Source organism: Homo sapiens, chromosome 3 (assembly GCF_000001405.40).
Source record: "Homo sapiens chromosome 3, GRCh38.p14 Primary Assembly".
Classification (NCBI taxonomy): Eukaryota; Metazoa; Chordata; class Mammalia; order Primates; family Hominidae; genus Homo; species Homo sapiens.
Genome location: NC_000003.12, coordinates 46,457,344 through 46,480,154, shown reverse-complemented (window position 1 = coordinate 46,480,154; position 22,811 = coordinate 46,457,344). Strand labels below are relative to the sequence as shown.

General features: G+C 47.0%; 1 protein-coding gene across 4 annotated transcripts in view, besides 3 other annotated features; it reads left to right on the top strand.

Annotated features, from left to right (window-relative positions):
* LTF (lactotransferrin) overlaps positions 1-22,811 on the top strand; it is a 49,590-nt gene that overhangs the window by 5,080 nt on the left and 21,699 nt on the right. For 2 of the 4 annotated variants that reach the window (NM_001321121.2, NM_002343.6), the window contains exons 1-2: positions 15,250-15,330; positions 20,336-20,499. In NM_001321121.2, coding sequence (NP_001308050.1) covers positions 15,288-15,330; positions 20,336-20,499 — 207 coding nt within the window. In that variant the 5' untranslated portion in view covers positions 15,250-15,287. Of the gene's footprint in view, positions 1-9,688; positions 9,795-10,559; positions 10,709-11,835; positions 11,904-15,249; positions 15,331-16,500; positions 16,712-20,335; positions 20,500-22,811 lie in introns of those variants that run through there. The other 2 variants (NM_001321122.2, NM_001199149.2) reach the window with 2 other exon arrangements.
* Positions 1,229-1,728: an enhancer, noted in NCBI's record as "H3K27ac hESC enhancer chr3:46519917-46520416 (GRCh37/hg19 assembly coordinates)". NCBI's record gives its function as "activates a minimal SCP1, AML or CMV promoter by ChIP-STARR-seq in primed H9 embryonic stem cells {active_cell/tissue: H9 hESC(primed)}" and the evidence as "EXISTENCE:reporter gene assay evidence [ECO:0000049][PMID:30033119]".
* Positions 1,729-2,230: an enhancer, noted in NCBI's record as "H3K27ac hESC enhancer chr3:46519415-46519916 (GRCh37/hg19 assembly coordinates)". NCBI's record gives its function as "activates a minimal SCP1, AML or CMV promoter by ChIP-STARR-seq in primed H9 embryonic stem cells {active_cell/tissue: H9 hESC(primed)}" and the evidence as "EXISTENCE:reporter gene assay evidence [ECO:0000049][PMID:30033119]".
* Positions 9,433-9,932: an enhancer, noted in NCBI's record as "H3K4me1 hESC enhancer chr3:46511713-46512212 (GRCh37/hg19 assembly coordinates)". NCBI's record gives its function as "activates a minimal SCP1, AML or CMV promoter by ChIP-STARR-seq in naive H9 embryonic stem cells {active_cell/tissue: H9 hESC(naive)}" and the evidence as "EXISTENCE:reporter gene assay evidence [ECO:0000049][PMID:30033119]".

Sequence of the window (22,811 nt, the reverse complement as noted above, 5' to 3'; positions counted from 1 at the left end):
CTGAATGGCAGCGAGTCAGGGAGCTGGCTCTTCCACGATCCACCTGGGTGTCCGGGGTCTGTCAGTCTTACCATGATTAGAATGGAGCTTCTGATCCACCTCCTCCTCAATCTGCTTTATTCCCAGTCTTCCCCATCTCAGTTAATGAAACTACCTCCTTTTAGTTTCTCAGGCCAAACACCTTGGTGCCATCATCCACCTCTCTCCTTCACACCCCACATCCCCTTGTAATGTAAGCAAATCCCATGACCTCCTCCTTTAAAATATGTCAAGAATCCAGCCATCTCACTATTTCTCCACTGCCACATCCTAATCAAAGCCACTTCTGGCCGGGCGCAGTGGCTCACGCCTGTAATCCCAGCATTTTGGGAGGCTGAGGTGGGTAGATCACTTGAAGTCAGGAGTTCGAGACCAGCCTAGAAACCAGCCATGGTGAAACCCCGTCTCTACTAAAAATACAAAAATTAGCCAGGGGTGGTGGCACTTGCCTGTAATCCCTGCTACTTGGGAGGCTGAGGCAGGAGAATCGCTTGAACCCTGGAGGCAGAGGTTGGAGTGAGTTGAGATCGTGCCACTGCACTTCAGACTGGGTGACAGAGCGAGACTCTGTCACAAACAAACAAACAAACAAACAAACAAACAAACAGAAAAGCCACTTCATCTCTCTCCCAGGTCACTGCTGGAGCCTCCCTAATCATCTCTCTGCTCCCCACTTGTTCTGCCTCTCAGTCCATTCTCAGCCTTCTGCCTTGGCTCCTACATCCTCAGAGTAAAAGCAGATGGTCTTCTAGGTACCCACAGGGCCCCACAATTCCCGGGCCCTGTAATCTCCCCCTCAATCACTTGGTTCCGGCCAAACCCACTTTGTGGAGGTTGCTGGAAGATGCCAGGGTGGGAGAGAGGGGGCTATGGGGTTTTCCCTGCCTGTCACAGGTCAGGCTGCCCCTCCTCCAGAGCTGCCACAGGTGGGAGGCAGATTCCCTACCACGCACAGAGCCTTGGGCACAGGCGTGGTTCTCCATGCTTCTTCTGTTACCGTGGTCCATGGACATTCTCATCTCCTATGGTGGTAACTGACTATTCCCTTGTCTGTTGCCCTTGGGGGCAGAACTGAGTCTAACTCAGTTTGGTGACCCAGTACCTAACAAGGACCTGGTCCAGGATAAATGCTCTGTGAGGATGGCTTTAGTTGAGGGAACCCCTCTAAGTGCAAGGAGTCAGGAAGCTGGATTCTACCTGGCCGCACTGTGTCAGGTCTGAGCAGGCCACACGCCCTCTCTGGGCTTAGAGACCTCATTTGTAAAATGGCATAAAAAATATTATTTTCTGAGAGTGTCTGATTTTCTTGGTCAAATTATTTCAAGGTAGTAACCTCAAGCCAGAATATTTCCAAATATCCTGGAAATTGCTCACTTTTGTGACTCTTTCCTCCATTTCCAAATAGCCATCAGGTTCTGCTTCATCTACGAGGTCCCCAGGCCCACCCACTAGTTCCTCATTCTGCCAGTCATCTTCTGCCCTACCCTCTTCTGTCCTCCCCTTGGCCCTCTAGCATCTACGTTGCATCCTGCGGCTGCTTCCTCATCCAGCTGCACTGTCCAGGAAGATGGGGAGTGATGGTTAAGAGCGGGGTGGACCTGGCCTCACCCTTTGGTCCCTGGCACTCTCTAGGGACCCTGCTCATGCCTGCTGATAGCACTGTGGAGAGCAAAGTGTGTCACCTGCCCTTTGTCACCAACATAGCGACCTTCAGCCTCTGGGGAAGTGACTGAGTGGCCACATGGGTTCTGGGAAAGCTTCCCTTGTAGCCCAGAGACCCTTGGAGGGGGAGAGAGAAGATGTGTGGAGCAAAGCCAAGACTGACAGTCGGGACGCAGCTGGGTTACTGGTGAGCAGAAATTCAAGGAGGCTGCCCAGGCTGCTGAGAGGGGCCATTAGGAAAAGTCTCAGGGCAGTGGGGCGGGAAGAGGGCATGATGGTGAGAGAGACAGAGAACTGGAGAGAGAAGTGGACGTCATAAAAGAGAGAGGAGTGAAAGAGTTACAAAGGGTTGCAGATAACAGGACAGAATGTGGGCATAAGGAGTGTGGGTGTGGAGAGGGGCCCAAGGAATCACAAAGACAGATGTCTGTAAAAGGGCTGGGGCACGCTGCTGGGTTAGCTTGAGAAGGAAGACTGGGGAAAGTGGCTCCCGCTCGGCCCTCTGTCCTCCCTGTAGGGTGAACTTGCCTTTGCTAACACCTTCTGTTGGATTGTGACTCAACTGGAGCCGCCTGGGGAAAGGGAACTCTTTGCAGATTCCCAGGACTCTGCATAGGTTCTGGCTCACAACGGGGACCAGAAATGCATGGAAACAATAACAATAATAGTTAATATTGACTGAGTTTTCACTGTATGGTTTGGCCTTGTACTGAAAATCTTACATCCATTCATTTATTAATTCACACACCCATTCCTTCGTTCAAAAAATATCGATTGAGCAGCCCCTATGTGCTGGGCACTGTTCTAAGCATCTTTATAAGTTACTTCATTAAGTTCTAACAATTTTATGAGGGAGATGCTTTTAGTATTCCTATTTTCACATGGGGACACTGAAGCTGAGACAGGCTGAATGACGTGGCTAGATCTGGGGAGTGGGGAAGAGGTAGAGCTGGTTTCAAACTCCCCTGCCTGCGATGTTTAACCACTCTCATCACTGACCCTGCCTTTCAGGCACCAGACTACCCAGTGAATCAAAGGGACAAGGGAGTCGCCTAGAATGCAGGTGTGGCCTTGGGATGTGCTCAGAAGGGCCAGGCTTCATCTGGGCTTAGAAGAGCTGAGGGAGGAGGAGCCCTGGGCTCCCTCACAGAGGCAAGTGGAGGGAAATGGTGACTCTGAAGAATATTGAAAGAACTATCCGCCAATGAGAAAAAGCCTTACCAAATAATCAAACAATGGACAAAAGACATTCCCAAACAGAGTGGCTGAAATGAAAAAGACAGACAATGGCAGTGTTGGCAAGGATGTGAAGCCCCTAGAACTCTCATATACATTGGTGGGAATATGAATTGCTACAATTAACTTTGGAAAACTAGCAGAATTTTCTAAAGCAGAACGTAGTCATATGCTGTAAAACTCCATTCCTAAGTACATGACCAACAGAAAAGAATACATATGTTCGCTTCAGCACCATTGTAATAACCCCAAGTTAGAAACGACCAAAATATCTATTACCAATAGAATAGACAGGTAACTTTGGTACACTCACATACATAAAGATTATACAGAAGTGAGCATGTAAGAGCTATTTCTTTATGGAACAACATTGGAGAATCTAATAAACAAAATTTTAAACAGAAAACCTCAGGCACCTTCTATACAATTCCATTTATAAAAACTTCACACACAGTCATAATGAATACATTGTGTTAGATGTCAGGATAGTGATCACCTCTGGGGTAGTGATTGGAAAGAGGCATGTATAGAGTTTTTGTGGGCGGGTAATCTTCTCTTACTTTATTTGAGAGCTGTTTTTTAGCGAGGTGTTCAAATTTTAAAAATTCATCAAACTCTACATGTATGATTTGTGCATCTGCTGTTATATATGCATATGTATGCTACACTTTAATAAAAAGTGTGTTTTTAAAAGACAAATATTGTCATTTACAGACTGCAAGAGAAATGTAAGTTTGGCTTGGTATTTGAAAATAAATTGGTATGATTCATAACCAAAGAGAAAAATCAAATGATTATCTCAGTTGATGCTGAAATTCAACATCCATTCATGTTTATAACTAACTATCTAAAGGGACTTCCTTAATCTACAAAAGTTTCTATAGAATCTACATATCTACAAAAAAGCCAACAGCAAATAGATATCATATTAATGGGGACAATGTTGAAAGCTTGCCTTCTGAGATCAGGAACAAGACCCGGATGCTGTTATCTCCATATCTGTTCAACATTGTACGGAAAGTCCCATCTAGTGCAAAATCACTGGAAAGAAAGGATAAAGCTCTCATTATTATGTTAGTGGAAACTCCCAAGTAATTAGATTTTATAAGTGAATTTAATAAGCTTGTCAAACAGAAGGATAAATACAAAAATAGATTGTATTTCTAATACTAGCAATTATTACCAAATGAAATAAAAATTAGAAAATGAATTAAAGGATGATCTCACAAGCAGAATGTTGAATGAAGGAAATCAAATACAAAAGAATACATATTATATGATTCCATTTATATAAAATTCAGAAGTAGGCAGATCTAAGGTGTAGTGTAGAAATTATAGTAGTAGCTAGCTTTAGGGGTTGGGAGATGGTGTGGGGTTGAGCAGAGGCATAAGCGGTTTTTGAATGTTAGCAGTTTTCTTTGACCTGGGTGGTGGTTACATGAGTGTTCTTTGGGATAATTTGCTCAATTGTACATTTATGTTTTATATTTCTCCATATGAGAGTTTTTTTTAACTTAAAAAAGATTACTTGGCCAGCTTGAGTTGGGTGGTCTCTAATGGTCAATTGGCTGCAGCTGGATCAAAGGAGCCACATGGTTCCCATGGTAATGCCTTGCAGGGCCATAGAGTTGGAGAGTAGATGAAGAGAGGGTGTGTGTGTGTGTGTGTGTGTGTGTGTGTGTGTGTGTGTGTGTGTGTGTGTTTAGGGGGAGAGCAGATGAAAGTGACTGACATCTCATAGGGAGTTTCTCCCAAGAATAACAGAGATGACCCTCTCCTTTTTCTCTCTTGCTAACAAACGGGCCTCATGGAATGTATTGGAGAGTATTTCCTCTTTTCGGTTTTGGAAGAGGTTGTGTGGAATTGGTGATAATTATTTAAATGTTTAGTAGAACTCGACAGTGAAACCATTTGAGTCTGAAGATTTCTTTTTTGAGAGTTTTAAAATCATGAGCTCTGTTTCTTAATTCAGATGATCTGTTTCATATTGTGAGTTGCAATAGTTTGTTTTTTTGGAGAAATTGGTCAATTTCATATCAGTTGTCAAATGTATGTGTGTAGAGATCTTTTAGTAGTCCTTGAGTTATCCTTCCATTGTCTTTAGGATCTGTTGTGATAGCTTCTGTTTTCTTTCTTTTGCTTGCTTTAGGTTTATTTTACTCTCCCTTTTCTGGTTCCTTGAGGTGGCAGTTTAGATTACTGATATGAGGCTTTTCCTCCTCTAATGTAATCATTTGGTGCTACAAATTTCCCTCTGAGTACAGCTTTAGCAGCATCCCACACATTTTGATATGCTGTATTTTCATTCTCATTAAGTTCAGTGTATTTGAAAAAAGTTTTACTTGAGGTTTCCTCTTTGACCCACTGATGATTTAGAAGTGTGATATTTAGTTTCTAACTGTTTGGAGATTTCTCTGCTATCTTTTTGCTAGTGATTTCTAGTTTGATTTTATTGTGATCAAAGAATAAATTTTTATGATTTCAATTTTTAAAAAATTGTTGAGGTTTGTTTTATGTCCCAGGAAATGGTCTATCTTGGTAAGTATTCTGTGGGAACTTGAAAAGAATGCATATTCTGCTATTGTTGGGTAAAGGGCTCTATAAATGTTGATTCAGTTCTGCTGGTTGATGGTGTTGTTGAATTCTTCTACACTCTTGCTAATTTGCTGTCTGTTCTATCAGTTGTTGGTAGAGGGGTTTGAAGTCTTCAACTATAATTGTGGAGTCTATTTCTCTTTCTAGTTCTATCAGATTTTTCTTCATGTATTTTGCAGCTCTGCTTTTTGATGGGTACATTTAGGATTGTTATGACTTCTAGGTGTATTGACTCTTTCATTATTACATAATGTTTCTTTCTGCCCCTAATAATTTTCTTTGCCCTGAATTCAACTTTATCTAATATTAATGTAGCTCTTCCTGCTTTCTTTTTATTAATGTTTGCATGGTTTATGTTTTTCTATCATTTTACTTTCATGCTACCTACATTGTTATTTTTTCTAATGAGTTTCTTGTGGAAAGCTTAGAGCTGGGTTATGTTTTTTAATCCACTCTTCCAATCCCATTCTTTTAATTGGAGTATTTAGACTATTTACTTATGTAATTATTGATATGTTAGTGTTAAGCCTACCATTTTATTTTATTTTTTTCTCTCTGTTTTTAGATTTTACTGTTTTCTTTTTCTCACTGTCCTGTGGGTTACTTAAACATTTTTTAGAATTCCATTTTGATGTACCTATAGTAACTTTGAGTATATATCTTTGTATAGGTTACGTAGTGGTTACCGTAGGTATTACTTAGTACACACATGATTTATCACAGCCTACTGGAGTGGTATGCTGAATAATGGACCCCAAAGATGTCCATGTCCTAATTCCTGGAATCTGTAAATATGTTAGCTTAAATGGCAAAAGGGACTTTGCAGATGTTATTAAGATCTTGAGATGGGGACGTTCTCTGGATGGTCACAGTATAATCATGACAGTTCTTACAGGAGGGAGGCAAGAAGGTCAGAGTGTGAGATGGAGATGTAACGAGAGCCACAGAGGTGAGAATGATGTACAGCCCAGATCCAAAGAATGGAGTCAGCCTCTAGAAGCTGAAAAAAAATAAGGAAATGGATTCCCCCTGGAGCCTCCAGAGGGAAAACAGCCCTACATTCTTTAGTTCACTGCTGATTTTGAAACTCTGATCTTCAGCATTGTAAGATAATACATTTGTGCTGGTTAAACCACTACATCTATAATCTTTAGCATTTTAATCTGTACTTAGTGGGAGGAATAGAGAGAGATATGCCTACTCCATCTTGATCCAGAACTGGAAGTTGGACATGCTGTTTTGAGGCGCTGGTGGAACTTCTAGGCTGAGCTGTTCTGTTCACAGTTGAGTACACATTGCCAGAGTAGAGTAGAATAAAGTAGTTTTCAGCACAGAGAAGGTATTAATCCAAAGGAGGAAGGAGATTGAGGTTCTTCAGGAGCAGATTATGGGAGAAGAGAGGAAGGGCAAGAAAATATTCCTTGGAACCATGGTTAGCTCTGTGATTCTGAAAGTTTCCCTCAGGAAAGGGTGCACTTGGGGAGATGAGGGTCAGGAGAGTGGTCAGAAGCTGAGGCAGGAGTCCAAGGTCATCTCCAGACCATGGAATGGAAAGGAACAGGCAGGCGCAAGAGGCAGGATGGAGGAAGAACTGAATGCATCTGGGCCCAGATGACATGTAGTGACTGAAAGAGAAAGGGGAATCTGTAAGGACACACATGTATTGACCTAGAGACATGGGGAGTCTGGCCCCCGCCTTGCCAGATGAAGTGAGGAGAAGGCCACCTGGAGGGGTTCCAGAGAGGGATGAAGAAGACAAAGGGAAGAAGCAGGAAGGATTGATTCAAGCTGAGACAAATTCTTTGATTGCTGAGTTTCCTTCACAAATGGGGCAACATTTAGCAACAACATTATTGGTTCAGAGGCATTGCTCTCCTGGACCCCAGCCCCATACCCACAGCTTCCCCCTAATTCCTCCAACAACACATGTTCTGGAGAGGTCAGCTTTACTCAAAAGGGCTGACCATGTGGCTGAACTTCAAGAGGATCTCTTGAGCCTGGGAGTTCGAGGCTGCTGTGAGCTATACTGTGCCACTGCACTCCAGCCTGGGCAACAGAGCAAGAACTTCTCTCTCTCTCTCTCTCTCTCTCTCTCACACACACACACACACACACACACACACACACACACACAATAATCTTTTCCAAAATTGATTTTCTGGAGATTAATACCCTCTGGAGGAAGACTTTGCTTAGGATGAAGTTTTGCTAGGTTGATCACGAAAAAGGGGCATCTTGCTCCCTGTCTCTGCTCCTTCTCTGTCCTTCAACAGTAGCACACAGGAGGCTAAGGATGAGTGGACAGGATGCCCCCGAGAGGACTCTGGATGAGAACTCTCTGTAGCTTGCCTGCCACATGGCCTTGGGAGGGTGTAATTTCAGTAAAAACACACACTATAAATACCACAGCTCATGGCAGGCACCTCCTAAAGTCATATGAGTTTGTGCTAGCTTTACTTCTGGTTTTAGCTGAATAAGAGTAGAGGAAGAAATGGGGAGGGTAGAATCTAGAGCTGGGAGGGAGAAGGGAGGGAAGGGTGAGAAGGGAGGAGGGTCGCTGGAAAAGACTTATGCCCAGAAAGAGCGACACAGGGAGGCCCTGGGCTGCCAAGGACCCTCTGGAGGCTCCAACAAGCCTCTGACTGCAAACAAAATTGGCTAACATGACAGCATCTCGGCCTTAAAGTGGTGCGTGTTAAAATTTGGGGGAATTGTCCCCATGGCCCCCAGCCCCTATATTTCTTTTTGCTCATCATTGGCACTGCCCTGATACTCTCCCGGTGCCCTTGCTGCTTACCCTTAGAAGCTGATGGGGCTGTAGGAGAGGAGACCTTTCAGTAGGAGAAGTAGGTCCCAGCTTCTCTGCAGGCAGGTGCTGGGTGCTGGGGGTGATGGAGAAATCTCCTCTTCAGCCTCTCCATCCTCAAGACACACACAGGTAGGTGCTACACAGGGCGAGGTAGGGGCCATCGGGTGGCCCGCTCCCTGCTCCTTTCTCCGTGTACCTTTATGCAGGGCTTGTCCTCCTCTGCTCCCCACACTCACCTGGTCAACAGCCCTGAGGGAGGCTCTCCACTGGGCCAAGCCTGGAGGTGGACCCTGGGGATGCACAGCTAGTCAACCACAGTCCTTTCCCTCCTGGAACTCAGAGTGAAGGCATGGGTGCAGGGACAGGTGTCAGTAGTTACAAGTACTATGCTAGAGGAAGCTCAGTCAGGGTCAGAGCCCCTCCCTATGGCAGGCATCCATAACCCGTATAGACATAGGTGTTTAAGGCAGAGAGGGAAATAGAGACAGAGAGATAGAGAGGGAGAAGGTAAGCCAAGGAGAGAGAGAGAAACAGACAGAGAAAGAGAGGAGGCAGGGATTAGGACAGAGACACAGATGGAGAGTAGGCCAGCCAGACTGTGAACACTCTAGAAAAGGCAGGCAGCTGGGGGCAGTGTGTGCTCTCCTAGAAGGGCCATGTTGGAGAACAGACTCTGCCACTCTCTCCTCCACTCTCAAAACTCCCCGCAGCCTCTGTCAACACTGTCTGCAAGTAGGATGGCGACTCTCTGGGTCCATGCAGCCCCTCTCACTGACCAGGAACTGCTGGAAGCTGGGCTCCTTCCTGCTCAACCCTGAACCTCTGTGCCCAGCTGAGGTTTTTGCACACAGTGGGGGCTCATGAATGTCTGCAAATATCAATGACAGCTTGTCTGTACTGAGCACTGCACAAGCATCTCAACATCGGGTTTTAATTCTACCCACCTCATACGGTGGATATTATTTGTGTCTCTTTTTTACATATGGAGAAACTGAGGCTCAGATAGGTTGAGAGACTGACCTAGGTCCAGGGAGCTGTTTAGGGTGGAACTGGTTCAAACTTAGCCAGCCAATCCCATCTCTGAGCTTCTAACCACATCTCTCCCCATGCCTTCCCGTCTGCCCAGCTGTCAGGTGAATAAAGGAATGGTGGGATGAGGAAGTCCACTACCAGAGCAGTAGTGAGGCTTGAGGACTGGTCAGAGGAGCTGGGCATCTCTAGCCTGGAAGAGCTGGGGATGAGCAGCCTCACCCAGAGAAATGGAGGAAAATCATGCCTCCTCACTCCTCTGCTCGCCCATCTCAGGCTCCTACTGAGTGAAGGATCCAGCTGATCTTGTCCTTGCAGGACACAGACAGCAGACACAGAGGCCTCCAGCACAGTGAAGCCTGTGGAGCAGTCCCCTCCAGAATGCAACCTTGTAGGAGGGCAGCACCATGGGCCAGCAACTCAGGTACTTTCTGCCTGGAACTTTCCCTGGGCCAGGGCCTCATTCCTTCTGGGAAGAAATTTGCATGGCTGGCCTTGGGCCACACACATGCTCCCTCCAGGCCAGCACCTTCCCAGAAGGCTCTCCCCCAGGGCCTGACCTGCTGTACATTCTCAAAGGATATGGTGATTAGGTGCTCAGTTCAGATTCTGCCAGGAACTTGGGGTGCTATCCCGGCCAGGAGAATTGAAAACTCAGAAGTGGGGTGGGACTGGAAGCATGAGCTCATTCCACTGCCCCTTGCCCACTGGGGAGCAAGCTCAGCAGGTCTTTGGAGAAGCCAGCCCCAGGAGGGCTGTCCCTGTGAGGAGAGGGCCAGAGGGCAGAGGGTCCTGCAGAGGAGGAGGGTTAGGTGAGGGGAGGGAAGAGGAAGAGGAAGAAGAGGGCTGATCCAAGCAGACAGAAGCTCCTTGTCTCTGTGGGGCCTTTGTAAATTGGGCAACATTTGGCAACAATACGTGTTGGCTAATGAAGCCACTGTTTTCCTGCCTGCTGCCCTTCAGCAGATCTTCCCTCCTGATGGAAGCTCCCAGGAGCCCAGAAACGTTCCCAGACTCTTAGGGCCTTTGGCTGTCTTCAAAAGGGCCAATGTGGGGCCAAATGTGAGGGCCTTTCTCTCAAGGTCATTGTCTGTGTTGGGATCTTGGGGGGACTTGGGTGGGTAGAGACACAGGCAGCTCTCCATCCATCTCTTTCTCCTTCTCCCCCATTCTCTGCCCCTCTCTTCAGGGTGATCAGCAAATAAATGATCAATACTAAGACACCAAGGCCCTAAGAAGTCACTGGATGGGGTCCCGGGTGGATTTCTAGCTCTACTGTCCACTGGCTGTGAGACCATGAACAGGGTGCATTGCCCAAGTCCACTCAGCTGGAAACAGGTATAACAAGCACCTTTTGGTATTTCCAGAGCATCAGAAGCCAGCTGATGTGTGGAAGGGGCCAGGCAGGGCCTGCTTCACGGAAGGTTCAATTCTTGCCAGGTTCCCTTTGTGCTGAGATCCCTGGGCCTCAGTCCCTGCACCCTGAGCTCTCAGAGGGTTCTTGGCTCATGGAGGAGAAAGCCCCTGGCTGTGGGCCTAATGGGAGACTCAGGGATAGCAGTTGTATCTCACTCACTGTGTGACCTCAGGCGACACTCAGAGTACCTGTTTTTAGAATGGAAAGAGTGACTGTCTTAACTCACAGAGTCGTTGTTAAAGCCATGTGAAACAAAGTCACTGACAGCACTATTTGGATTTTAAAATGTCATCCAAATATTAAAGATTATTATCCTATTTCTCTGCTAGGGATGGCACAGCCACCCATACACAAACACACCCACACTAATGTGGACACTGCATGCCACCAATGATGAACGTAGGCAGCTGTGTGCTGGTCAACTGGCCCTCTGGGGGTGTGGAAGGAGGAAGCCCTGATTTAGAGCATTTGCTAATTCCATGGCATAAATACATCGACTATGCCTGATATCAAGCTGCCATCAGTTAACCCACCCCAAATCCCTAAATGTTTAACAAGTGGTTCTCAAGTCAGCAATCTCTCACCACTGGCAGGGAAAAGATACAGGGCCCAAGGTCTCCCATCTGCCAAGCTATTGTCCAAGCGTGAGTTGATGTCTCAGGAAGGCCTTTTCTGCCTTATCCCACCTGAAGCCAGTTCTACTCAGATCTCACACTTCCTTCCCAACACTCTTCTTGGGGTTTGAAGCTAGAGGCTCATAGAGGGCAGGGTGTGAGGTTTACTGGCTTGCAGGGAGGACTTAGGTTGGCCAGAGACTGTTGCCTGCTAATGGGGCTTGGGCCTGCAATTCTGTAAAGGCTCCCTGGAGGAGTTTTGAGGGTGGGGGCAGAGCAGGGTTAGGGGGAAGGGAGTCAGCCTCACACATCTGCCTGTTGAACACTAGCTCTTGCCACTGCATGGCAGTTTCCACAGCAGCTACCTTCTTTGTGCTCCTTAAACTCATGTTACTGTCTCAGCATTTGGAAACCTGCATTCTGCTTCCCTGCAGGCTCTTTGAGATCTGACCCAACTCCTGGCACGTTGGAGATGTCCCATAGACCAGTGTTGAATGAATGGGTAAGTTAATGAGTCCATGTACACAGGCTTTGGCATGGCCTGGCTTAGGCAGCCCTGACCCTCACTATCCTTCAGACCCAACACATTACAAACAGGATCCTTTGTCCCTTTCTTAGCCTGTTCCTCTTCCTCATTTATTCATTCCTTCAACCGATATTGATCATCAAGTGCCTATAACATGCACAGAGCTAACTGGCCAAAGGATTTGAGGGTGCCTCTGCGGCTCTTTGGTGGGTTTGGTGGAAAGCGGTAGGAAATATGAGAAAAGGTTCAGGGTTGGAGGGACTGGGTGAGTTGCATTTTCGATGCATTAAATTTAGGCGCCTTCAGGACCTGCAAGAGTACCTTTCCAGAGGCAGATGAACACATGATGTGGAGCTCAGGATAGAGGAGGAGGATTTTGTTAATCCTTCTTCCAACAAGAGTTCCAAGCCATGGCTGGGTGCAATGGTTTATGCCTGTAATTCCAGCACTTTGGGAGGCCAAGGTGGGAGGATCGCTTGGGCCCAGGAGGTCAAGGCTGCAGTGAGCTGTGATTGCACCACCACTGCATACCAGCCTAGGTGACAGAGGGAGACCCTGTCGGTAAAAAAAAAAAAAAAAAAAAGAAAAGAAAAGAAAAGAAAAAAAGAATTCCTGGCCAGAAAGCCAGAGGGAACTTTTGTTGTCCCTAGTGCTCAGGTAATTGGTCACTGGGTTCATGCTCCCAAGCCTTTACTTGTTTGGTTGTTTACTTTACAGAATGCTCTACCTGTAGAAATCCCACCCTTCCTTCAGGTACCCAGGCTAAATCTTCCTGGAGTTCTTCTGGAGCCCTCATGATGGGTGCTGGTCATTCCTCCTCTGGGCCCTCACACTCACTTGCTTTATGCTGCTTGGCCTCTTCTTAGGGAGCCTCTGTGATAGAAGTGCATTCCTGTGACTGTCCCTCCCCCATAGTGCTGTGAGCTCCTGAGGGCAAGGACAGACCCCTCTTCTCTGTCTCTCATGGCATCTACCAGTTCTGGCATGAATGAATGAATGAATGAATGAATGAATGCTGTTAATAGATCAGTGAAACTTCATTGTTTTTTGGGGCAGACTCATCCCCTACATCAGCCTCCTCTGCAAATGGCCTTGAGGGGCTGCTCTGCCTGTGTCCAGATGCTCACATCCCTGCCCTGGGGCTGGGCTGTTCCAACAGGCACAGCAGGAAAACAGTCTGCCCTGTTGCCTACCCATGCTGCCTTCAGGGCACTCCTTAAGCTGAGCCTCTTGGTAGTGGCCCCAGGTTCTCTGTGTTCTTGCCAACACTGTAACATACTTAAGAGGGCCCAGGGCCCTCTGACCTCCCAGTCATCCTTTTTTAAAATTTGGACTCAGAAAAAGAGACACGGGTTATGATGTTTCTTAATTCTTTTATAATGATGAAAAGGCAAAGTCTTGTTGCCAATTTAGGTACAAAGATGCTTCAGCACTCCTGGGAATTAGTCAATTTTGTATTTCTTCAGTATTTTTGAAAGAACTTATTGCAATTATTGATGATGGCAACTTTAAATGGTGCAATATCATGTTTCCAAACAATGAGAGACCTTGGATCTGTCACCCCAAAACCCAGCTGGTGATTCTAGCACCAAATCTCAGACCCCAGTCTCATGGCAGGCAAGCATGATCCCTGATTAGCCTCCACCCTGTGCCTTGGCAGGATCATGCCCAGAAATGGAGGGGCTCCCCAGCCTCCTTAATGGCCTCTCCACCTTGGGCTGAGCCTGCTTCTCCATGGCTAGGTGCCCACTGCATGCTCACTCTTGGCAGAGCTGGCTCCCTGGGGCATTGCCTATCTGCTCCAGGAAATGCTTTTTAGTACCAAGTAGTCTAAGCAGAGTCAAGACCAGCTTTTCAGAATAAGCAGATTTCAGAGTCACATATTGGTCAGACTCACCTGCCAAGAAAGGTGTTCAGGTGACCTATTATTTCCCTCACTGTTAGTACCTTTTTTCTTCACTTAGTTACCCTTTTTTTTTTTGGTGGGGGTTACAGAGTCTTACTCTATTGCCCAGGCTGCAGTGCAGTGACATGATCATGGCTCACTGCCACCTTCATCTCCCAGGCTCAAATGGTCCTCCCACTTTAGCCTCCCAAGTAGCTGGGACCATAGGCATACACCACCATGCTGGGCTAATTTTTGTATTTTTTGTAGAGATGGGGGTTTCCCTATGTTGCCCAGGCTAGTCTTGAACTCCTGGGCTCAAGCGATCCTCCCATCTTGGCCTCCCAAAGTGCTGGGATTACAGGCATGAGCCACTGTGCCCTGCCTAGTTACTCTTGGGCTAAGTTCACATCCATACACACAGGATATTCTTTCTGAGGCCCCCAATGTGTCCCACAGGCACCATGCTGTATGTGACACTCCCCTAGAGATGGATGTTTAGTTTGCTTCCAACTGATTAATGGCATGCAGTGGTGCCTGGAAACATTTGTACCTGGGGTGCTGTGTGTCATGGGAATGTATTTACGAGATGTATTCTTAGAAGCAGTATTCTAGCTTTTGAATTTTAAAATCTGACATTTATGGCGATTGTTAAAATGAGGTTACCATTTCCTACTGAATACTATCAACACCAAAAAAGAAGAAGGAGGAGATGGAGAAAAAAAAGACAAAAAAAAAAAAAAGTGGTAGGGCATCTTAGCCATAGGGCATCTTTCTCATTGGCAAATAAGAACATGGAACCAGCCTTGGGTGGTGGCCATTCCCCTCTGAGGTCCCTGTCTGTTTTCTGGGAGCTGTATTGTGGGTCTCAGCAGGGCAGGGAGATACCCCATGGGCAGCTTGCCTGAGACTCTGGGCAGCCTCTCTTTTCTCTGTCAGCTGTCCCTAGGCTGCTGCTGGGGGTGGTCGGGTCATCTTTTCAACTCTCAGCTCACTGCTGAGCCAAGGTGAAAGCAAATCCACCTGCCCTAACTGGCTCCTAGGCACCTTCAAGGTCATCTGCTGAAGAAGATAGCAGTCTCACAGGTCAAGGCGATCTTCAAGTAAAGACCCTCTGCTCTGTGTCCTGCCCTCTAGAAGGCACTGAGACCAGAGCTGGGACAGGGCTCAGGGGGCTGCGACTCCTAGGGGCTTGCAGACTAGTGGGAGAGAAAGAACATCGCAGCAGCCAGGCAGAACCAGGACAGGTGAGGTGCAGGCTGGCTTTCCTCTCGCAGCGCGGTGTGGAGTCCTGTCCTGCCTCAGGGCTTTTCGGAGCCTGGATCCTCAAGGAACAAGTAGACCTGGCCGCGGGGAGTGGGGAGGGAAGGGGTGTCTATTGGGCAACAGGGCGGGGCAAAGCCCTGAATAAAGGGGCGCAGGGCAGGCGCAAGTGGCAGAGCCTTCGTTTGCCAAGTCGCCTCCAGACCGCAGACATGAAACTTGTCTTCCTCGTCCTGCTGTTCCTCGGGGCCCTCGGTGAGTGCAGGTGCCTGGGGGCGCGAGCCGCCTGATGGGCGTCTCCTGCGCCCTGTCTGCTAGGCGCTTTGGTCCCTGTGTCCGGTTGGCTGGGCGCGGGGTCTCTGCGCCCCGCGGTCCCAGCGCCTACAGCCGGGAGGCGGCCCGGACGCGGGGCCAGTCTCTTTCCCACATGGGGAGGAACAGGAGCTGGGCTCCTCAAGCCGGATCGGGGCACGCCTAGCTCTGCTCAGAGCTTCTCAAAAGGCCTCCCAGGCCCCTGTCCCTTTGTGTCCCGCCTAAGGATTTGGTCCCCATTGTATTGTGACATGCGTTTTACCTGGGAGGAAAGTGAGGCTCAGAGAGGGTGAGCGACTAGCTCAAGGACCCTAGTCCAGATCCTAGCTCCTGCGAGGACTGTGAGACCCCAGCAAGACCGAGCCTTTATGAGACTTAGTTTCTTCACTTAAAGAAACGGCCTAACCATGGGTCCACAGGGTTGTGAGGAGGAGATGGGGCATTCGCACACCTTCCGTGGCAGAGGGTTGTGGAGGGGTGCGGTGCTCCTGATGGAACCCTGTGTCAGAGGGTTTGAGAGGGAAATGTCAGCCAAACAGAAGGAAGGAGTAGAAGGAAGGAAACAATTGTCAGTTCCATAACCAAAGTAATTTCTCGGGTGCTCAGAGGGCACTCCCCAGCGCTGCACATTAGTGACCTAAATGCGTGAGTGCGGAGCTCCCTGCAGCACCGGGAGGGGAAGGTCCCAGGCCGCAGCAGAAAGGGCTGTGATGGGCATCAGGACCTAGGCAGTGGGAGGGGCACAGTGAAAGCCCAGGTGTCACACCTCCCCAGCCCAGTGCAGCCTCCACTTGTCTTACGGCATCTACCTAAGGCTGGGAGCTTCCTGGATGGAAGAGGTGGCGGTGGATAGAGAGCAGCAGTGGGAGCCCAAACCCATCCTTGTCCCTGCCCTTCTGGTCTCCTGCTCCAAATTCCTTCCCATGGGTGTTGGTCATCCTTCTCTTCTCTAAGACAGATTGGGACTGGCCAGGACCCGACTGTTCTCTTCCCCTCAAGCTCCCTGGCGAGTGGCCTGTTGCACAGGGTTAGGGCCACCTGGGAGGGGCAGGAGAGGAAGGAAGCCTTGCCTTCCTGGAAGTGGTCATGGGCTGTGGTCCAGGATTCTGGCTCAGAGTTGCACCACTGGGTTTTATATTCACTTGGATCTTTAGTTGTTTTGGCGCCTACTGAGGTCTGAAGTTTGAATCCTGCAGTCAATTGGGATGGTGGCTTGTACCCCAAAGTGCCATTGCAACCCTTGTCCTTCCTGAGGAAAGGGTGGCAGTTGCCCTGTGGAATTCCTGCCCTGCTCCCCGTGGGTGTCCAGGCTGACAGAAGTTGGGTGAGTGGGGCCAGCTGGATCTAAGCCGTGTGAGCATTGGGTGGAGGAGTCTGTCTGCTTAGCCCTGGAGCCATGGGCTGGGAGGCACTCATGAGGTTTCCCATCAGTCTGAGCAGTCTGCTTGGGCCCTATCATGAGCTGTGTGGGTAGGTGGGGAGAGTAACTCCTGTCCTGGCCCCTGCCTTGGAGGCCAGCGCACTGCATGTCTGCCCAGAATGTGTGTTTTGGCCAGTGTCCAGCCAGGTCCAGTGGGCAGCATCTGAGTGCCTGACACTGAATACAAGTGTGGGGTTGAAGATTTTGGAGGGGCCAGACCTAGACCTGCTTCAGGGGGTCACATAGCTCCAGAGCTGGGAGGTAAGAGCTTGTGGGTCACACAGCTCCAGAGCTGGGAGGTAAGAGCGTGGAGACTTCACCTGGTGTTTGGGGGGCTGGGGACTGGGAATCCTGGAAGGGAGCTCAGCGGTCCTTTAGTCACTCTGGTTCAGCTCCTCTTAGGGGAAGAAATGAACTCTGCCCACAGGTTCCCGTCATTGCTCAGCCCCCACCTCCGGCTTGAGGCATGGTCTTCCATTTTACTCTCTCCCTTCACCCCCAGAACCCACCCATTACCAAGCTGATTTCTGATACCAGCTCCCTGCCCCCTTCTCTGTTCTCAGTGCTGTCCCCTCTCTCCACTCAGACTAGCCCTTCCCTGGTGCCTTCGTTGGCCACAGCTTCTCTGCCTGTTCCCAGGTCTCAGTTCACTCTGCCCCTGCCCTAGGGAGAGTCTCCCGTGAGTCACAGCTTCACTGCATCCTGAATAAGACCTCCCTGGATCAGCATTGGAGACTTTCCAGGATCTGACCCAGACCCTTTTCTAGCCCCATCTCCAACCTGTCTCTAACTTTGCCAACCTAAATAGGCAGGCTAGCCCAGTGGTAAGAGTAGGGGAGTTTAGTGCCTGACTGCTTAGGTTGGAGTCCTAGATCCAACACTTACTTATTAGCTATGGGAACTTCCACAAGCCACATAACTAGTTAAAGCCATAGCTCCCTCCCCTGGAGAATGGAGAGGTTGGCAGAATTCACAATACAGAGGAGCTGTGGCAACTAATGGAGACACGTATGTCTCCATTAGCTGGTATTTGTTTGGTATTTGTTCTCTTTTAACACATCCACCATTCTTAGCTTCCTCTTTTTGGATTTTTGCCTCTCCAGTGAGAAGTGAAATCTGGTCCTGTCCGCTTACACATTCCTTGCGTGACACACAGTGCTGTTTGTACAGCAGGCATCCAGTTAATGCTCACTGGGTCACAAATGGCTGCATCTGATTGGGTTAATTCTCAGTGTGGGATAGTTCTATAAAGGCTTCCAAGGCAAGATTATATTCCCTGGGATTTCCCCGGGATGAGGGTGGATGAAGGGGGAGTATGGCAGCTAGGTGTCCCCAAACCTCTGCAGACTCAGCCAGGGAGCTACAGGCCTCTTGCCCACCCAAGGGCCATGGGTGGCTCTCGCCATAAGGGGATGGCTCAGAAACAGGAGACAGCAGAGGCTGAACATTCTACCCCATAGCACATCCAAAGGGCAGAGGGCTTTTACAACTGTGTGTTTATTTTGTTTTTTTGTTTGTTTGTTTTTTGTTTTAGTTTTTGGTAACAGCTTTACTGAGGTACATTTTCCATATCATAAAAAATCACCTATTTGCGTACAATTCAATGAGTTTCAGTAACCTTACCGAGTGTGCAACTATCACCATAAATCTGTTTTAGAACACTTTTATCCCCCCCAGTAAAGGTCCCTCATGCCTGTTTATAGTTAATCCTCATTTCTACCCCAGCATCAGACAACCACTAATCTATTTTCTTGTCTCCATAAATTTGCCTTTTCTGGACATTTCATTCAAATGGAATCATACAGCATGTGGTCTCTTGTGTCTGGCTTCCTTCACTGAGCATAACTGAGGCTCGTTCATGTTGTGGGGCATGCCAGTAGTTCTTTTCACTGCTGAGTAATATTCCATTGAATGGATGTACATTCACCAGTTATTGGACATTTAGGTTGTTTCCAGTTTTCTACTATTCTAAATAACACTGCTATGAATATTCATGCACAAGCATTTATGTATGATAGGTTCTTATAATATTTCTTCTGGCTATATGCCTAGAAGTGCAATTGTTGGGTCCTATTGGAACTCTGTGCTTCACATTTTGAGAAGCTGCCAACCTGTTTTACAAAGTGGCTGGTCATTTTACATTCTCAGCAATGTATGAGGGTTTCCACTTCTCCACATCCTCATCGATATGTGTCATTGTCTGTTTTAGCTATTATAACCTGTTCAGTGGCTGTGAAATGATATTTCGTTGCATTTTCAATTTGCATTTTTGACTAATGATATTGAGCACTTTTCATGTGCTTATTGTCCATTCATATATCTTCTTTGGTAAAATGTCTGTTCTTATCATTTACCCGTCATGTACTAAATCCTTTTTGATGTTATACTATCTAGCATTATGTTCTTAATTTCATTTTTAGATTGTTCTGTGCTGTATGCAAAAATATGATCAATTTTTGTATATTGATCTTGTATCCTGTGGCCTGGCTGTACTTGTTTATTAATTCTAATAGTACTTTGTAGATTCTTCAGTATTTTCTACATAGAAGATCATGTTATCTGAAAGTAAAGTCAGTTTTACTTCTTTCTTTCCAATATGGGTGTCTCATTTCTTTTCTTGCCTTATTGCTGTGACTAGAATCTCTAGTACTGTTGAATAGAAGAGTTGAGTGTGGACACTCTCTCATCATTCCTGATCTTAGGTGGAAAGCAGTCAGTCTTTCACCATTTTAGTATGATGTTCATTGCAGGTTTTTTGTGGATGCCTTTTATCAGGCAACCAGGTGAGTAAATTCAATGCATCTTCCTCCCTAATTACATGGATTTGAGCAACAAAAGCAGGCTCAAAAGAAGAACCAGTATTTGAGCAAAAAAAGCAGGCTCAACAGGAGCACCAGTCTTTCTGTGCAGAGTGAATGGTGGTAGCTCAGGCACACCAACCAACTGATTTGTCCCCATTGACACTGACTTACCATTTACCTCAGCTACCAACCGACTCAGGTATATTTTCCCCTGTTCTCTTGGCATTCCCTGGGAAGAGATTTATGCACAAAACAATCTAGAGAGACGTGGATTCTCAGCTGGGCTCTGCACTGCTGAGTGGCGAGTCACTCAGCCTCCTTAGGAGCCAATTTCCACATCAGTAAAACAGGAGCAATGACTCCTTTCCTGCCTACCTTCCAGGTTCAAAGTGGGCAAAGCTGGTAGAAGAATTCCATAACTGATCTGGGGGATCACCATCATTTTTTAAGTGGTAGGAAACATGTCAAAGTCATAGGAATGAAAATAATCTAGAGGGACTTTCTCCTTTAATTTATTGAGAACCACAGACCTCTAGCCAATGCAGAGATCCTATTAGTCCAGCAAGATGCCTCCACTTGTGGAGAATGGCTGGACATAGCCATGAAATGGAGAGGGAAGGAGGGCAGCCGAGAGAGAGGGAGGAGTCTGGAAAACTCCATCAGAGGGTGCGGTGGTCACGCCCTCAGTCAGTGGTTGAATCCTTACTCCTTGGCCCCTCTCTCCCAGGACTGTGTCTGGCTGGCCGTAGGAGGAGTGTTCAGTGGTGCGCCGTATCCCAACCCGAGGCCACAAAATGCTTCCAATGGCAAAGGAATATGAGAAAAGTGCGTGGCCCTCCTGTCAGCTGCATAAAGAGAGACTCCCCCATCCAGTGTATCCAGGCCATTGCGGTGAGTCAATGCCGGGTGTTGGTTGGGACCAAGCTGAATGGAAGGGAGAGAGAAATGGAAAAAGATAGAACACGAGCTCTCCTTACTTCCTCTGCTTCACCTGTTGGGCAACGAAGTGGGGAGCCGTCCTCTCTCACAGGGAACTGTGCTATTTTCAGAGCAGAAAGGAAGGAGCTTAAGTCAAGAGACCATGTGTGAGGAACCTGGAGCCTCCACATAAACTATAATAACAACTGTTATTCATTAATAACAACTGTTCCAAAATGAAATGTAATCAGTTGTATTTGATGAATACATAGGATCAGCAAAAAGCAAAGTTACTCAGAGAGGGAAATCCTCCAAAAGAGTCATGACCTCTAAACCCTGTGAGAAAGAAGCTTGTCCTGGTCACCGTTGCCACATCACATGGCTGGGGCAGGGCCTGCCAGGGTGCTGGGTGTTAGAAAGACTTTTGTCCAAGACACTTTCAGAGAGAGAGAAAAGGGTATCATGACTTGTATATGATTTCTGATTCCTTTTATTTTTTGAGATGTAAGATCTACTGAAATGATTTTTACTCATTCATTCAACAAATATATTCTGTGTACCTGCCATGTGCCATAATCATGTGTACTCAACTCCAGCAGAGTGAATAATTTGCATAAAAGTTCCCGAGGCAACTTCATAGGATTATCTTATAAATACAATGGAGTTATTAGAATAGCACTTAGGGAAAAATCTAGTTTAATCAATGTTTTAGGCTATTATTTTACAACTATTACCTGCATACAAACAGTACCAGTGGCTGGGCGCGGTGGCTCACGCCCGTAATTTCAGCACTTTGGAGGCCGAGGTGGGAGGATCACCTGAGGTCAGTAGTTCAAAACCAGGATGGCCAACATGGTGAAACCCTGCCTCTACTAAAAATACAAAAATTAGCTGGGTGTGGTGGCACATGCCTGTATTCCCAGCTACTTACAAGGCTGAGGCAGGAGAATCACTTGAACCCGGGAGGGGGAGGTTGCAGTGAGCCAAGATCATGCTATTGCACTCCAGCCTGGGCGACAAGAGCGAGACTCCATCTCAAAAAACAAAAAACAAAAACAAAAAACCAGCACCAGCATCTCTTGCTTGTTTAAAATGCAGATTCCTAGGCTCTATTCTAACCTACTCAATCTGAATATATGTGAAAGAAGCCACAAAATCTGCCTTTTAAAATAAGATCCTGTCCAAGGCCATACCACGCTGAACGCGTCTGATCTCGTCTGATCTCGGAAAATAAGATCCCTGTTTGAAATCAGTACTACATACCATTCATTCAAATAAAGTTGAGATAGATTAAATGGTTAAAAATAAAACTTGTATTATTGAAAAACTAGGGGGCAGGTTAACTAGCAGAACTGTAGAGGAAATAGAAATCTCTTAAATGATGATCTAAATCACGAAACAAACAGATATTCTAAAATACAGAAAATGTAATTCATAGCCCATAGAAAATATTTAAATAAAAAAATTAGAAAGGACTGGAATGAATGAATATGCGCCAGCTCTGACACATGATTACTATTTACACTCTATAAAAGAATAACTCAAGGCCGGGCGTGGTGGCTCACATCTGTAATCCCAGCACTTTGGGAGGTCAAGGCAGGTGGATCACGAGGTCAGGAGATCAAGACCATCCTGGCTAAGATGGTGAAACCCCATCTCTACTAAACATACAAAAAAAAAAAAATTAGCCAGGCATGGTGGCACACGCCTGTAGTCCCAGCTACTCAGGAGGCTGAGGCAAGAGAATCGCTTTAACCCGGGAGGTGGAGGTTGCAGTGAGCTGAGATGGTACCACTGCACTCCAGCCTGGGTGACTCCGCTCGAAAAAATAAATAAATAAAAGAATAACCCAAATTGGAAAAAATGTAGAATCATAGAAGAAAAATGATATGAACAGAGTTACCAGTAAGAGGGAATTCATAATTAATAAAAAATACTTGTGAGATGTTCCCCTTACTAATCAGACCTGAGCGATTTGTTAGTACTCACATTTTCTATAGTAATAACAGCTAATAGAATGATAGCCTGCCCTGCTGGTGATTCAAGAGTGAAGCTGGTCCTCACGGTCAGCGCCATTCTGAATTGGTATTATAAGTCTTCTGGAAGCAGAATGGCAACGGCAGCCCGGGTCACAGGGGGAAACGTGCTCCTCATCTGGGGGATTCCACCCTCAGCTGCCTACCCAAGGACACAAGTGGTCACAAGGAAAAACACTGAGGACAAAGATATTCATGAAAATACAGTCTTCACAGGAAACAGTTAGAAATAAACTTAAATGCTAAACA